General features: G+C 39.9%; 1 pseudogene; it reads left to right on the top strand.

Annotated features, from left to right (window-relative positions):
• Positions 14935-16596, top strand: AKR1B1P2 (aldo-keto reductase family 1 member B1 pseudogene 2; annotated as a pseudogene).

Raw genomic sequence — 17337 nt, forward strand, 5'->3', positions numbered from 1 at the left:
GTTTATAAGACTTAATGGCTAGGGAGGCCTCACAATCATGGTGGAAGGTGAAAGGCAAAGAGGAGCAAGTCACATCTTACATGGATGGCAGCAGGCAAAGGGAGCTTGTGCAGGGAAACTGCAGTTTTTATAACTATCAGATCTCATGAAACTTATACACTATCACAAGAATAGCAGGGGAAAGACTTGCCACCATGATTCAATTACCTCTCACCAGATTCCTCTCATGATACTTGGGAATTTTGGGAGTTACAATTCAAGATGAGATTTGGGTGGGGACACAGCCAAACCAGATCAAAGACCTTCAACTTGTGACTGCAAAATGGGATACTTCACTCACTTTTTTTTTTTAACCTAACACTTGCAATAGTTACCTTTCTCTATTAGCCATTTTTTTCTTTTTTTTTTTTTAGATGGAGTCTCGCTCTGTCACTCAGGCTAAAGAGCAATGGCATGATCTCAGCTCACTGCAACCTCCACCTGCCAGGTTCAAGCAATTCTCCTGCCTCAGCCTCCTGAGTAGCTGGGAATACAGGTGTGCGCCACCATGCCTGGCTAATTTTTTTGTATTTTTAGTAGAGACAGGGTTTTACCATGCTGGCCAGGCTGGTCTCGAACTCCTGACCTCATGATCCACCTGCCTCAGCCTCCCAAGTGCTGGGATTACGGGTGTGAGCCACTGTGCTGGGCTTCATTTTTTTTTTTTTTTGTCCCCCATGCTGTAGCACCATGGCACCATCTCAGCTCAATGCAACCTCTGCTTCCCAGGCTCAATAAATCCTCCCACCTCAGACTTCCAAATAGCTGGGACTACAGGTGTACACCTGGCTAATTAGAAAAAAAATTTTTGTAGATACAGGGTTTTGCCATGTTGCCCAGGCTGGTCTCCAACTCCTAGGCTCAAATGATTTTCCCACCTCAGCCTCCAAATATTCTAGGACTACAGGCATGAGCCACCATGTCTGGCCCATTTCCATTTTCTGCACTCATATTTAACATGAGTAATTCGCATTTGCAGTTGATATGTAGAGGTCACTGAATTGTTTATTATTATATGAAAGAGAAAGCTTCACAGACTTTCATTTCTTTTTTCTTTTTATGTTTTTCCTGTATCTTATGGGAGAGGAATTATTCTTTGAGTGGTAACTAAGGATCTCACACTTTACATACATTATGCCACTTTAGTCTCAAAACAGGCCTGAAAAGGTGGATTTCTCCACTTTTTCCAGCTTATACATATGGAGATTTTGCCAAGTTTAAGAAACTTGCCCAAGGTCAAAGCTCATAAATATCCAAATGGGAATTGGAGCCCAGATTTCCTGTTTTGACAACTCATATTCATGTAATAATAAAAATAAATAGACATAGCAATAAAAACACTTAAATTTACTATGTTTTAAGTACTTCATGTAACCTAACAATGTTATGTGGTAGATATTCTTCTTATCTTCGTTTCAAGAATGAGACAACTGAAGCACTCGGTTGCTCAAGACTTCATAGGAAGCAGTAACTCAGATTCAAATCCAGGTCAAACTTCAGGAATCCATGTTTTCAAATACTATGCTCTACTGTGTCATGTAATTTAATGACTTTCTTTAGGCTAGATCCGTGTTTCACAGCCATGTGTTTATTATCATCTTCCTAAGCAGACATTGGAAGTAAAAATCCTCCCATTGGGAATGCATGCCTTCAGGTACGTGTTCTTACTGTAGGTTGTGTCTCATTCATCTTCATCATTTCTGCTAACCAAATTTAACACCTTTTCTTCATGAAGTTAATCTTTGTCCTGTGGATTTGTATATGAGACTCTTGGGTGCATTAATTGATTTGAATAAACAGCATTTGCCCCAAAGCACAACAGTGCTCTTTCAGTAGAACATGGGGAGAAAAAAATCCTCTCCAGTCTCCCTGCCACTCACACCTTTCCTAAAGATGTAAGACGGTACCATTTTGAATTTAGAGCTACAATCTACAGAAAGATTTCTCAATGGAGTGCTAAAAATTCCTTTTTGGGGACTCTTCATTTAATGCATCTTCTGAAAAACACCTGTATTTCTATTTGTGAGGTTTGAATACTATATAAAATATAAAGATCTTCTAACAAACTCAATGTTTGGCTTTCACAGATTGTGAAAGTATTTTTCCCCTAGAGTCTAGAAAATTGGCTCTCATTTCTCTAAATAAAAGAATAACATTTAAGGGAAGAAGAGCAATTCTTTTCTATTCAAACATTTGTTTTTGGCTGTGAAGTTACTTGGTATTCCATGAGAAAACAACTGTTAGTATTTTACTTCTACCTTGACTGATGTAGCCTTTATTTTATGACTACCACTAAAAGATGAATTATGAATTAATAGGGAATTGTTCATTTCAGTTAAGTCAATAATATCGTTAATAAGTGAGGATTGCCCATGAAAAGCCAATAGATCATTGTGTTAAACATTAGTAACTTACATTAAACCCAATGTGACTAATATATTAAATATATATTAGAAATTTGTTACACATATCCAGTAATAAACTTATACGAACCTTAAATTTGAGTTATATTTGCTGACTCCAGTCGATATGATAATAGGAGCTATTTTCAAGGCCTTAGGAGCAGGTTCTCATGCCAGAGACTAGCGAGTAAATTTAATGGACGCTTCCCTGAAGTCAGACTTGCCTCATCTGTGTAGCATTCACATGAATTTTCAATTCAATTTCAACCTCAAATGGGAGTTCCCACAAATCCAAACACCTTGTTGAAGCAGGAGAAAATGAATTATGCGGATAACAATATTTTATCAAGCTCGAAACTCAGCTGTGTTATGTCCAAAGTAGTAAAACCGTGTAAATAAATTGCTAAGTCACAGTGAAATTGATGACTTGTATCTCATGTTTTAAAACCAGGATGACTAGTTTAAAAAAGAAAAAGAGAGAGACAGAGAGAAAGTTGGAAAATCATTCTTTTGACTTGGCACATTTGATTGTTGTTTCCAAGTTCAAATGACCGTTGGAGCAAAAAGCTATCCAATTAGACTTAAATAACTTTAATATTATTTTCTGTGTTTGTGTGTTTATGCGTGTGTGTGTCTGTTTGGACTTTTTTAAAACTAAGTTTTCCTATTCAAAGATTTTTTTTAAATGTTTGGTTGCATAATATTGTGCTATAACAAGCACATAATTTTCAGCTGATTGTCAATAAAACTTTTAAAAATGTACATGCCTAGCATACCAATTTTGACATATAGAATAATCCCGGCAGGTTAAGTTCTCATCACCTCCCATACATTTTAGAAACCACTCCCTCCAACCAAACTTGGATTCCACCGTAAAGAATACCAAAAAGGCCTAAGCCAGAGATCTATTAAACAAACAAAAGCTAACACTTATCTAGAGAAAACGGCAAGCACCAGCTCCTTCCCAAAGAACTGTTTGAAAATGTTTCTGCACCCTGATCTGAGAGTCAGAAAGCAGATGGAGAAGACCTTCTAGAAACAATCTACTCAGCAAAACAACCATTTCTTAAGTAGGTGGGAGTGGAAAAGAAAGAAAATGAGCAAACTGGAAATAAATGTAGAAGTAGAGAGAAGCACAATAGTTACCTCTTTATCTAGAATCCTCGCTGACGCTAGCGTTTGGGTCTCCAAAATACATCCAGAAATGAAGTGGATGTGATCACACGCTCCAAGTCTCATTCTCTTGGCTAAAGTGCTACCTTTTAAAGCCTTCTCCGGCTAAAGAGGGTTCATTAAATACTTTCCCTTGAGGGCTACCTAGGGAGTTGGCCTGAACAGGTAAGAGGTTTCAGAAGGAATACTGGGATCTGATAAACGAGGAAGAATAACCTCTCCGGAGAAGAAGAGAGGGAAAAGGATCTAGGCCGACAGAACAGCAGGGGAAATCGTTTCCACTTGCTAAAGGCAGTAAGGACAGCAACATTGGCAAGCTTTTCTGAACTGCAGGAATGCTTTTTCCCTGTGTTATTTTGGCAAATTTCATTGAACTCAGCATGGATGTTCTTGCTAGGATGTTGGTTTTCATGCAGCCAGCTGTTTAGGCGCGGCTTCACTGACCTTAAGTATTCAGAAAGTATTCCTACACTGGGTGGTGTCCAGGGCCTGACACTTTCCACCGACTTTTCCATGAACCATGTTTGCTCCTTCCTTAAACCTGTCACTTATAGAGTGTTTCTGCAGTGCATTCCTCTGTGCCGCAGTTTCTTCCTTCTGGACACAATTTATTTTAAATGGGTCAGCATTTTTTTTCTTTTTCGATGTTTTAACTTTTAAATATTCCATTAACATTTTGGGATGGGCTGAGCCCCTGTTACTTCCTATTATACTTTCTCTATCCTTTTCTTCATTTTATTGGGAGCCTGGGATGATGCAGACAAAGAGAGTGGGTAGGAAAGGGCTTCCATTGTTACATTTATTTTACCACCTTTACAGAGAAAGGCAGGATATTTTGATTACTTGGGAATTAATTCTGTTCTGTTACATATTTTATTCTGCTTTTAAACTTTTAGGAGGAAACTGAAAGGCAGGATGGTATTTTCAAAGATTGTGAGCTGGTTCTGTTTTGCTTTTGTATATAATAGTAATAGGCAACATATAGTGAGTGCTTATACGTGTCAGGCACTGTTCTAAGCTCTATGCCTGTATCAATGTAACTTTACAACAACTTTGTAAGTTGGTACTGTTTTATCTCAACTTATAGCTGGGACACCCACCCAAAAAGTTTGGTACTTGGCTGGGCACGGTGGTTCATATCTGTAATCCCAGCAATTTGGGTGGCAGAGGTAGGAGGATTGCCTGAGCTCAGGAGTTCGAGACCAGCCTGGGCAACATAGCAAGACCTCATCACTACTAACAACAACAACAACAAACAAACAAACAAAAAACAGCTGGGCTTGGTAGTGCATGTCTGTAATCTTAGCTACTCAGGAGCCTGAGGAAGGAGCATCTCTTGAGTGCAGGAGATGCTGGTTGCAGTGAGCTATGATTGCACCACTGCACTCCAGCCTGGGTTACAGAGCAAGACCTTGTCTCAAAAAAAAAAAAAAAAAAAAAAGAAAGAAAGAAAAGAAAGAAGAAAAAAAAATAAATTAGGTTCCTAAGTCCATGTCTTTCTTAATATAATGCACTGCCTTCTCTTATACTGTGTGAAGCTCAGACCAGACCTTTCATGCTTAAAAATAAATGAACACATAAATCTTTTTTGACTACATTCTATTTGAATATTAAGTTAAAATTAATAAAAGAAAAACCCCTCTACCACCCTTCCACTCTATGTTTCAGTTAGAGACTACATGTTTCCTGAATCACATCTAGTGAGCATCTTTGACTTTGTACACCACAAGAAGTAAACTTAAATTTTGGTACACTGCATATCTCTCATACTTGGGGCAGAGAAGGCAAGACCCTGGACCTCTGCAATGGAGTAGATAACATTTCTACTCTAAAAAACAAATTTTTCACTTGGAACAACTTCCCTTTCATTAGCCTCAGTTTTTCCCCTCCTTGAAATCGCTGGGTGGAAATTGTCAGCCTTTACGTTAAATCTCTTAATATTTAATAACTATACGTGTTTATTTAATTAATTTATTTATTTTTTGTGATGGAGTTTCGCTCTTGTTGCCCAGGCTAGAGTGCAATGGAACAATCTTGGCTCACCGCAACCTCTGCCTCCCGGGTTCAAGTGATTCTCCTGCCTCAGCCTCCTGAGTAGTTGGGATTACAGGCATGCACCACCACACAGGGCTAATTTTGTATTTTTAGTAGAGACAGGGTTTCTCCATGTTGGTCAGGCTGGTATCGAACTCCCAACCTTAGGTGATCTGCCCACCTCGGCCTCCTAAAGTGCTGGGATTACAGGCGTGAGCCACTGCACCTGGCCTATTTTATATTTTAACTATATCTTTATTCACATGTATATTCCTAATTCCTTTCCCTGCTGTATGTTCAGTGCCAAAGTATCCGGTTCAAAAAAAAAAAAAAAAGTTTTTCCTGGGGATAGCTCAGTCAGTAATCAGGCATCACATCCCTAAGCATCCTTTTGTTATTCCAGACTGTTTCAAGTAAAAATGTCTCTCTATAGATTTATTTTCCCTGGTCTGTTAAATGCTTACATAATGTCATCACTGTCACAGCTATGACCATTCTAAGGAATGGTGGCAACTCCTTGCTGCCACATGGTTAACACGGTTGCTATATTGCTTTGCCATTGATTGATTGTGATTGAAAGTCTTCATCCTAAGTCATCCTTTGATGTCTTATTGATAACTTGAAGGATATTTTATTGGTGTCATAAATCCCACATTTTAAGAATCCTTTAGGTGATAATGGAATTGATAATTACAAATTAAGAGAGTCCTATTTTATGAAGAGGAGGCATTTTAAAGTTCTTGCACAATTCAAAACTCACAAAATCCAAGTCAAGCTCTAACAAATGCTGGTGGTTTTTGTGCATTCCAGCTTACATGGAAATCACCTCAACATTGTCAGTGGGTCACTCAGTAGTTACTCAACATGCATATCCTGCAATTCTTAGGAACTGAAAAAATTTAGATCCACATGACTTCATTTTTTAAAATACGGTTAGACATTATTAATATTTCCATCTTGTATGCTTTCAAATGTCATAGTCCAAATTAAAATAAAACCATACAGTATTTTATTCTTCCACCTAGGTTTATGGAGATAGGCAAGTCTATATAACATTGAATTTAATTCTTTGTTGTACTTGCCCCTATTGAGTATGCCATGGTGAAGGACGATACCTGTGCCTGGCATTGTCTGGAAAATAGGTGAGGCCAAACCAATATTTTTTCAAAAATAGATGAATAAATACATAAACTGTTGTCCCACTGAACTTATTTTCTTAACATAGGATCTTGCTAGCTGTAGAATTAATTTTTTTATTTCATCCCTTTTAAACCTTTTATAGGCTTTTCTATTCATTTCTTTGGCATTTGTAAGGCCTCATTGAGAACATGCTACTTACATCCCTAGTACTACTGATTCCAAACGGAATGAGAATGAGTTGGCTGATGTAGGTGCCAACAAAACCTAATTCTATCTAAGACTGCATAGATAAAACTACAATTTCCAGAACAAACGGAGATAGTCTTGCTCAAGTTTTGCACCACACAGGCTGTGTCTGACAGGCAGGACTCAACAACCACTGACACACAGGACAAACCACATGCCAGGCACTGTGCTAAGTGTGCTAAACACATCATCTGCTTTACCCCCAAGCAGCCCCCATGGAATACCTTTTATTAATATTATCCATTTTATATATGAAGACACACATATTTAAAGAAGTTTATCCCAGGTTCACAGCTAATAAGTCACCAAGCTCAGACTCAAACCTTAGGTTATTCTGACTCCCTAGCTGTGTCCTTAATCACTGTGCTCTATTGCCTTATGAGATGGAGCTTCACAAAGAAATTATTGCCATAGGAGGCAAATCAAAACTGTCATTTTTTTTTGAGAAATCAAAATTACTGTGCTAAGTTTGTATGGATGATTAAAAACACCAAAAGACAGAATAAATATTTTCATCTCTCTGAAGGGTTATCACACAGTAATAATTAGTTTAGATTTTTTTCATACATCAGCATTAAGAATGGAAGTTTTAGGGTGAGCAATTCAATCTCAATATGAGACAAGAACTAGTTATATCTATTCCAAATAGATTACTGGATGCTTTAGAAGGAAATAAAGGCTTCTGGTCATCATGTGGGAATGATAATTGCTCGCAAAGATGATAACAGATTTTTAGATAAGCTGAACTAAATGGCCTTAATGTTCCTTTAAAACGAAAGATTTTATGATCCTATGATAAACAGAAGCTAATAAAAGGGGAAGGAGAAGAAAGGGGGAAGAAATACTTATTGGCCACCTAGTTATAAATACTCTGCTCCAACTCACTTAATACTCACCATGAGGTCAATGTTGTCCAAGAGGACAACATCATCATCCCCATTTTGCATAAGGAAGGAACTGAAATAATATTCCCATATCATAGACAAAAAAACTGAGACTTAGAGTAATAACATGGCTAAGACTACACAAATGTGTAATAAAGCCAGAATTGAACTTCTGATCTTCTTGACTCTAAGCAAAGGTCTTAAACAGAGGAAAAAATTGTGGGTATGGAACTACTGGAAGAGATACAGGAAGACCAAGTGCAAATTCAAAGAAATAAATAGGAGAGAACATGGAGAAATTCTGGGCTGAGGATGTACCATCTGCACAGCATACCCTTGGGGAATAGTTGGCAGGCTATGGAAGTAGGGGAACAGGAGGAAGAGATAAAGGTATTAACACAGTATGGCTCTGCCAGGATAGCCTCAGATGTGTTCTAAGAACTTAATGTTATTGCTTCAAATATTTTAGACTGAATATAGGGAAATTAAGCGTCTTAAAAGAGATTGGAGCTGAGGTCTGGGGGGTCATTGGGGAAAATCTTATATATTCCCAGTCTACTAAATTTGCTAGCCACTGGTCAGAAGCAATATAATGAGCAGAGTTCAAGTAATTAGGTTTTGGCTGACTTCCTATGAGCACTTTGAAAGCTTAATGGGCATTTGTATGCATTTATTTCTTCAATGATTGTGTTGTAGATGCTGAAGATGCATCATTGAATAGATAGAATCCCTGGCTCCATGGAGCTTGCATTTGAGAGTGGAGAACAATGAAAATAATACATAAATACATTCTGAAGCATACGGAGAAAAGCGGTATGGAAGAATGAAGTAGAGCATGGCAAATGTGTTGGGAAGCAGGGAGGGAGCATAGCCACTTTAAATCTGTCTGCTGAGAAGGAGGCATTTGAGCAAGGCCTGAAGCAGTGGAGAAAAAAGCCCTGCAGATATTTCTAGGCAAAGTGTTCTAGAGGGAGGGAAGAGCTAAGGTAAAGGCCACAGGAAGGAAATGTAGATGCCTGTACTAAGAACAGTGAGGTGTGGAAGCCAGGAAAAAGAGATGAGGTCAGAAAGCAATCATGTGGGATCTTGAGGATAACCATAAAGCCATTAGCTTCTACTCTGCATATACTAGAAATTGTTGAGTATAGGCATGATATAACTTAATTTACATTTTATAATTACAAAGTAGATACCAAAATGCCCCATTGTGTTCATAAGAAACGGGTCGTTTACTACAGGTGCCACAAAGCAATAAGAAAAATGATTCCTAGTGCACATCATGTTGAAGAAATGAACTGATAAAATTAAATACCAAAGAAGTAAATAAGCTCTATAATAAAAACTATAAAACACTTTGATGAAAGAAATTGAAGAGGAAACCAAAATGTAAAGATGTTCAATGTTCACAGATTAGAAAGATCAGTATTGTTAAAATCTCCACAATATCCAAAGCAATCTAAAGATTGAATGCAATCCCTATCAATAATACTTTTCAAAAAAATAGATAGACCCCATCCTAAAATTTATATGGAACCACAAAAGACCCAGAATAGCTAAAGCTGTCTTAAGTAAAAAGAACAAAACTAGTAGAATCACATTATTTGACTTCAAATTATACTAAAGAGCTATAGTACCCAAAACAGCATGGTACTTGCATGAAAACAGACACATAGACCAATGGAACAGAACACAGACCCAGGAACAAACCCACACACGTACAGTGAACTGATTTTCAACAAAGGTGCCAAGAACATACACTGGGGAAAAGACAGTCTCTTCAATTAATGTTGCTGGGGAAACTGGACAACCATATGCAGAAGAATCAAACTAGACTCCTATCTCTTGCCATATACAAAAGTCAAATCAAAATGATTAAAGACTTAAATGTAAGACCTTGTATTAGTTCATTTTCATGCCACTGATAAAGACATGCCCGAGACTGGGCAATTTACAAAAGAAAGAGGCTTAAGTGGACTCACAGATCCAAGTGGATTGGTAGACCTCACAATCATAGTGGAATGCAAGGAGAAGCCAGTCACATCTTATGTGGATGGCAGCAGGCAAAAAAAAAAAAAAAAGCTTGTGTAGGACAACTCCCATTTTTAAAACCATCAGATCTCATGAGACCCATTCCCTATCAAGAGAACAGCATGGGAAAGAACTGCTGCCACAATTCAATCATCTCCCATCGTGTCTCTTCCACAACACTTGGGAATTACGGGAGCTACAAGATGAGATGTGGGTGGGGACACAGAGCCAAACCATATCTTTCCACTTCTGGCCCCTCCCAAATCTCGTATCTTCACATTTCAGAACTTATCATGTCTTCCCAACAGTCCCCCAAAGTCTTAACTCATTTCAGCATTAACTCAAAAGTCCACAGTCCAAAGTCTTATCTGAGACAAGGCAAATACCTTCCACTATGAGCCTGTAAAATCAAAAGCAAGTTCCTTACTTCCTAGATACAATGACGGTACAGGCATTGGATAAATTCAGCCATTCCAAATGGGAGAAATTGGCCAAAACCAAGGGGCTACAGGCCCCATGCAAGTCTGAAATCCAGCAGGGAAGTCAAATCTTAAAGCTCCAAAATGATCTCCTTTGACTCCATGTCTCACATCTAGGTCGTGCTGATGCAAGAGGTAGGTTCCCATAGTCTTGGGCAGCTCTGCCCCTGTGGCTTTGCAGGGTACAGCCTCCCTCCCGGCTGCCTTCATGGGCTGGCCTTGAGTGCGTGCAGCTTTTTCCAGCGCAGGGTGCAAGCTGTCAGTGGATCTACCATTCTGGGGTCTGGAGGACAGTGGCCCTCTTCTCACGGCTCCACCAGGCAGTGCCCCAGTAGGAACTCTGTGTGGGAGGTCCCACCCCACATTTCCCTCTGCCCTGCCCTAACAGAGGTTATCCATTAGGACACTGCCCCTACAGCAAACTCCTGCCTGGGCATCCAGGTGTTTCCGTACATCTTCTGAAATCTAGGCAGAGGTTCCCAAACCTCAATTCTTGACTTCTGTGAACTGGCAGGCTCAACACCACATGGAAGCTGCCAAGGCTTGAGGCTTGCACCTTCTGAAGCCATAGCCTGAGCTCTATATTGGCCCCTTTCAGCCCTGGCTGGGCAGCTGGGACACAGGGCACCAAGTCCCTAGGCTTCACACAGCTTGAGGATCCTGGGCCCAGCCCACTAAACTACTTTTTCCTACTAGGCCTCTGGGCTTGTGATGGGAGGGGCTGCAGTGAAGGCCTCTGACATGCCCTGGAGACATTTTCCCCATTGTCTTGGGGATTAACGTTGACTCTGTGTTACTTATGCAAATTTTTGCAGTTGGCTTGGCTTTCTCCTCAGAAAATAAGATTTTCTTTTCTATGGCATTGTCAGGCTACAAATTTTTCAAACTTTTATGCTCTGCTTCCCTTATAAAACTGCCTTTAACCGCACCTAAAGTCACATCTTGAATGCTTTGCTGCTTAGAAATTTCTTCTGCCAGATACCTTAAATCATCTCTCTCAAGTTCAAAGTTCCACAAATCTCTAAGGTAGGGGCAAAATGCTGGCAGTTTCTTTGCTAAAACATAATAAGAGTCACCTTTGCTCCAGTTCCCAACAAATTCCTCATCTCCATCGGAGACCACCTCAGCCTGGACCTTATTGTTCATATCACTGTCAGAATCTTAGTCAAAGCCATTCAACAAGTCTCTAGGAAGTTCCAAACTTTCCCATATTTTTCTCTCCTCTTCTGAGCCCTCCAAACTGTTCTAACTGCCTGTTACCCAGTTCCAAAGTCGCTTCCACATTTTCAGTATCTTTTCAGCAGCCCCCACTCCCATTACCAATTTACTGTATTAGTTCATTTTCACACTGCTGATAAAGACATGCCAGAGAGGCAGTTTACAAAAGAAAAAGGCTTAATTGGACTCACAGTTCCACATGGCTGGAGAGGGCCTCACAATCATGGCGGAATGCAAGGAGGAGCAAGTCACATCTTATGTGGATGGCGGCAGGCAAAAAAAGAGCTTGTGCAGGAAAATTCCCCTTTTTAAAACCATCAGATCTCATGAGACCCATTCACTCTCAGGAGAACAGCATGGGTAATACCCACCCCCATAACTCAGTCATCTCCCACCAGGTCCCTTCCGAAACACGTGGGAATTATGAGAGCTACAAGATGAGATTTGGGTGGGAACATAGAGCCAAACCATATCAGACCTCAAATCGTGAAACTACCACCTGAAAACATTGGGGAAACTCTCCATGACATTGTCTGGGGCAAAATTTTCTTGAGTAATACCCCAAAACACAGGCCACCAAAGCAAAAATGGACAAATGGGGTCAATATCAAGTTAAACAACTTCTGCACAGCAAAGGAAACAATCAACAAACTGAAGAGAAAGCTCACAGAATGGGAGAAAATATTTGCCAATCGCCCCAGTGACAAGAGATTAATAACCAGAACATATAAGAAGCTCAAACAACTCTATAGGAAAAAAATCTAATAATCCAATTTAGAAATGGGCAAGCAATTTGAATAGACGTATCTCAAAAGACATACAAACGGCAAACAGCCATATTAAAAGGCGCCCAGCATCTTGATCATTACAGAAATGCAAATCAAAACTACAATGAGATATCACCTCACCACAGCTAAAATAGCTTACATCAACAAGACAGGCAATAACTAATGCTGGCAAGGATGTGGAGAAAAGGGAACCCTTGTGTGCTGTTGGTGAGAATGTAAATTGGTACAACTGCTATGTAGAACAGTTTAGAGTTTCCTCAAAAAAAAAAAAAAAAAAACTAAAAATTGAGTTACCATTTGATCCCACAAGCCCACTGCTGGGTATGTACCCAAAAGAAAGGTAATCAGTATATAGAAGCAATATCTGAGCTCCTACGTTAGTTGCAGCACTGTTCACAATACCCAAGATTTGGAAGCAACCTAAATGTCCATCAACAGATGAACAGATAAAGAAAATGTGATACATATACACAATGGAGTACTATTCAGCCATAAAAAAAGAATGACACCCTGTCATTTGCAACAACATGGATGGAACTGGAGGTCACTATGTTAGGTGAAATAAGCCAGGCACAGAAAGACAAACATTACATGTTCTCACTTATTTGTGGGATCTAAAAATCAACTCATTGATGTAGAAAATAGAGTGATGGTTACCAGAGCCTAGGAAGGGTAGTGAGGGGGCACAGGGGGTGTTTGAGTACAAAAAACAATAGTTAGAAAGAATAAATAAGACCTAGTATTTGATACCACAACTGGGTGATAGTAGTCAATAAAAATTGTAAATTTTAAAATAAATAAAAAATTGTAATTGGATTATTTATAACACAAAGGATAAATGCTTGAATGGATGATACCTCATTTTCCATGATGTGATTATCACGCATTGCATGCTTCTATCAAAACATTTCATGTACTCCATAAGTATATACACTTACGATATATCCATAAAAATTAAAAATAAAACATTTTTTTAAATGCACTGAAATTTCCTCCAGATATCTAATCTCCACCTGCCCTAAACAAATTATTCTCTCCATCAGTAATACCGTCTCTCTTCCCTCTTCCTGACACAGCTGCCAAAAGTCTTTTCTGCTGTTCTCAGCTCCTGTGCTCAACTTATATACCTCATTTGGCCAAGTAAATGCATTTTATTCAACTCTAAGAGCAAACTTTTATTTTTTTCCTTAAGTGTGCCCTTAAAAGATCTCACTCTCCACCCTATCCAAACTTAACAAAAACATTCACCCCCAAAAACCACTTCCTTGGGGATGACTTTGCTGCTAAGAAAATAAAATTTTCTCCATGTTGTTATGTTTACGTTGTCTACTATTTAAGTAGACCAAACAGAATGTGATTAGGTTTTTTGAGACATGGGTTGGGGTCTTTGTCGAAGTTAGCACCTTAGCTCATGGGCTATAATAATAAGGTGTGGGTGCTAATATATCACAAACTATAATATATTTGCAACTACATCTTATTTCAGAAAAGGATGTTGTTTTGGGAAGCAGTGAGTCAGCAGAACATTGAACACAAGGCAAAAGAAAGGAGATTTCATTCCCACTTTCAAATGGAAGTTCGTAACATTCCTGAATTATCCACAAACAGGGCTGCCAACCTGGAATCAATTAAGAGTCTCCCACTGGGGTGCAACGGGAGGGAGTAAGATCTTCAAAACTGTATTTTCATTAGTAAAGTAGAGAAACTGGCTTCAAGAAGGTGGCTGGCTTGGCTAGTAGGCCAGGAGGAGAGGAGAAGGGCAAAGTGTGGGAGAAGGTATAAAAGTCCAGCTTTGCCATTTTGCCAAGCACCGCTTTGAACAGAGCCAGAGGGTGTGAAATCAGAAAGCTTAGTAGCACCCCAGTTCTCCCTTTGCACCCTTTGCAAAGGTAGTACCATCAACAGGAATAGCAACTCTCAACAAGTCTTCATTATAATAGAATGTCCTCTACAGTTTAAGTTCAGTGACCACAAACCTCTTCATCACAAGAGATTTCCAGTCTTACGACAGGCGGTAGGTGGACACTAGAAAATTCTCCTACAACCATTTACTCCAAAAACACAAGCAATGTCTTAGATCCCTGCTACTCCAAATGTGGTACCCACACCAGCAACAGCAGAGTTAGAAATGCAGAATCTTGGACTGCATTCTAGGCCCACTGAATCAGAAACTGATTTTAACAACACCCCCAGGTAATTTATATGAACATTAAAATGGTAGAATTGACTTAAATCAATTAGGCTCGAACGTTGCATATTAGAATCACCTGGGGAGGTTTTTACACACCCTCCCCAGTACAGGCAGTACTCTATATGATGTATCTCAATTATCAGTATTTTTAAAACCCAAGTGGTTCCAATATGCAGCCAATTTTGAGGAACCATGACTTAAAGATAACAATAACAATATTTGTATTCAAATGAAAACTTTCCCCAAACTTTGCATTACTAATTACCTCTTGGGTTTTCCTGATAACTTAGATATTAAACATTTCAATGTATGGTTCCGGGCGGGGGTCTGGGGAGTGCGGCAGCCATGGCGAGCCACCTTGTCCTCACCGACAGCACCAAGATGCCCATCCTGGGGCTTGGCACCTGGAAGTCCCCTCCTGGCTAGGTAACCAAGGCTGTGAAGGTGGCGATCGATGTCAGGTACTGCCATATTGACTGTGCCTACATGCACCAGAATAAGAACGAGGTAGGGGTGGCCATTCAGAAGCAGCTTAGGGAGCAGGTGGTGAAGCATGAGGCTCATCAGCAAGGGGTGGTGCACATACCATAAGAAGGTCCTGGTGAAAGGAGCCTGCCAGAAGACGCTCAGCAACCTGAAGCTGGACTACCTGGACCTCCACCTTATTCACTGGCTGACCGACTTTAAGCCTGGAAAGGAATTTTTCCCATTGGATGAGTCAGACAACGTGGATCCCAGTGACACCAACATTGTGAACACATGGGCAGCCATGGAAGAGCTGGTGGATGAAGGGCTGGTGAAAGCTATTGGCATCTCCAACTGTAATCATCTCCAGGTGGAGAGGATCTTAAAGAAACCTGGCTTAAGGTATAAGCCGGCAGTTAACCAGATTGAGTTCCACCTGTACCTCACTCAGAAGTTAATCCAGTACTGCCAGTCCAAAGGCATCTTGGTGACCACCTATAGCCCCCTTGGCTCTCCTGTTAAACCCTGGGCCAAGCCTGAGGCCCCTTCTATCCTGGAGGATCCCAGGATCAAGGTGATCACAGCCAAGCACAATAAAACCACAGCCCAGATTCTGATCCACTTCCCCCAGGCAGAGGAACTTGGAGGTGATCCCCAAGTCTGTGACACCAGAATGCATTGCTGAGAACTTTAAGGTCTTTGACTTTGAACTAAGCAGCCAGGATATGACCACCTTACTCAGCTACAACAGGAACTGGAGGGTCTGTGCCTTGGTGAGCTGTTCCTCCCACAAGGACTACCCCTTCCATGAAGTTTTGAAGCTGCGGGTGCCTGCTCATCCCCAAGTGACATATACCTGTGTTTCCAATCTCATTTTTTTCTTGCAAATGTAGTATGGCCTGGCCTGTGTCACTGAGCAGTTGGACAGCAACCTGTAGAGTGGCCAGCAAGGGCTTGTCTAGGTTGATGTTGGATCTGAAGAGCAGTGTCAGTAGAGTAGAAGTCTCTTCTAGTTTGCTTTGTTCTTTTTGCCCCACTGGGGAAAGTATAACCTGAATACCCTTTTCTGACCAAAGGGAAGAAAAATATACCAGGTCAAAATAGTGCCACTAACAGTTAAGGTTTTTTTTTTTTTTTTTTTTTTTTTGAGACGGAGTCTCGTTCTGTTGCCCAGGCTGGAGGGCAGTGGTGCAATCTTGGCTCACTGCAAGCTCTGCCTCCCAGGTTCATGCCATTCTCCTGCCTCAGCCTCCTGAGTAGCTAGGACTACAGGCGCCTGCCACCATGCCGAGCTAATTTTTTGTAGTTTTAGTAGAGACGGGGTTTCACCATGTTAGCCAGGATGGTCTCCATCTCCTGACCTCGTGATCCTCCTACCTCAGCCTCCCAAAGTGCTAGGATTACAGGCGTGAGCCACTGCACCTTGCCAATGGTTGAGTTTTGACTGCTTGGAACTGTAATCCCTTCAGCAAGACTTCTCTTTGCCTCAAGTAAAAAGTGCTTTGGTGAAAAAAAAAAAATCTCAATGTATTCTGCCATATAATTAATGCTTAGATTTCCCAAATTCTGATGACGCTAATTTTAATCTGCAATAGATCCATAACTGACAAAGGGTCACTTAGTCAAGAGAGTTTGCTGAGTCTTACCACTCAGAGATAAAACAATTATTTGTTTTTAAATAGCGTTTACAGTTCAAGATTGCTTTTCTGATTGAATACTTCTTCTCTCTTATTTCTCAAATTATTACTCTATTGAGTAAGAATCTTAACTATGTTCAACATTTTCAGGCATGATTATTATAAATATTTTGCAAGTTAGCTTCAGGAGCTGAAAAGATTTCTTGATGTCAGGTGATACTTTTGTTGAATCAACAAGATTGACTGGTCTCATGGCTGGTGTTTAGCAAGTCAATCATTTTCACTACACAATAGATAACAGTGAACTAAAATTTTCTTTTATTCATTGGGAGGCTATTCTGTGATACTAAGAACAAAGAAAATCAAGTCTCTGTGGAACCAGAGTCAATCTTCCAAAATGTAACACATCCATTAGGAGAAAAAAAGAGTGTCAGACAAGAAACAAATTGGCTAAATTGGTTGAAATATCTCTCTAAAATTAAGTTTACATATTAAAGGAAAGATAAAAGGAATATGCACATCATTTGCTAAGACACAAATATCATCTGATTTTCAGCTATTTCACATTTCTATTTTTTCCCCCTTACTACATTTTCAGCACTTTTGGTTTTGA

The sequence above is a fragment of the Homo sapiens genome, chromosome 3 (genome assembly GCF_000001405.40).
Source record: "Homo sapiens chromosome 3, GRCh38.p14 Primary Assembly".
Taxonomy (NCBI): Eukaryota; Metazoa; Chordata; class Mammalia; order Primates; family Hominidae; genus Homo; species Homo sapiens.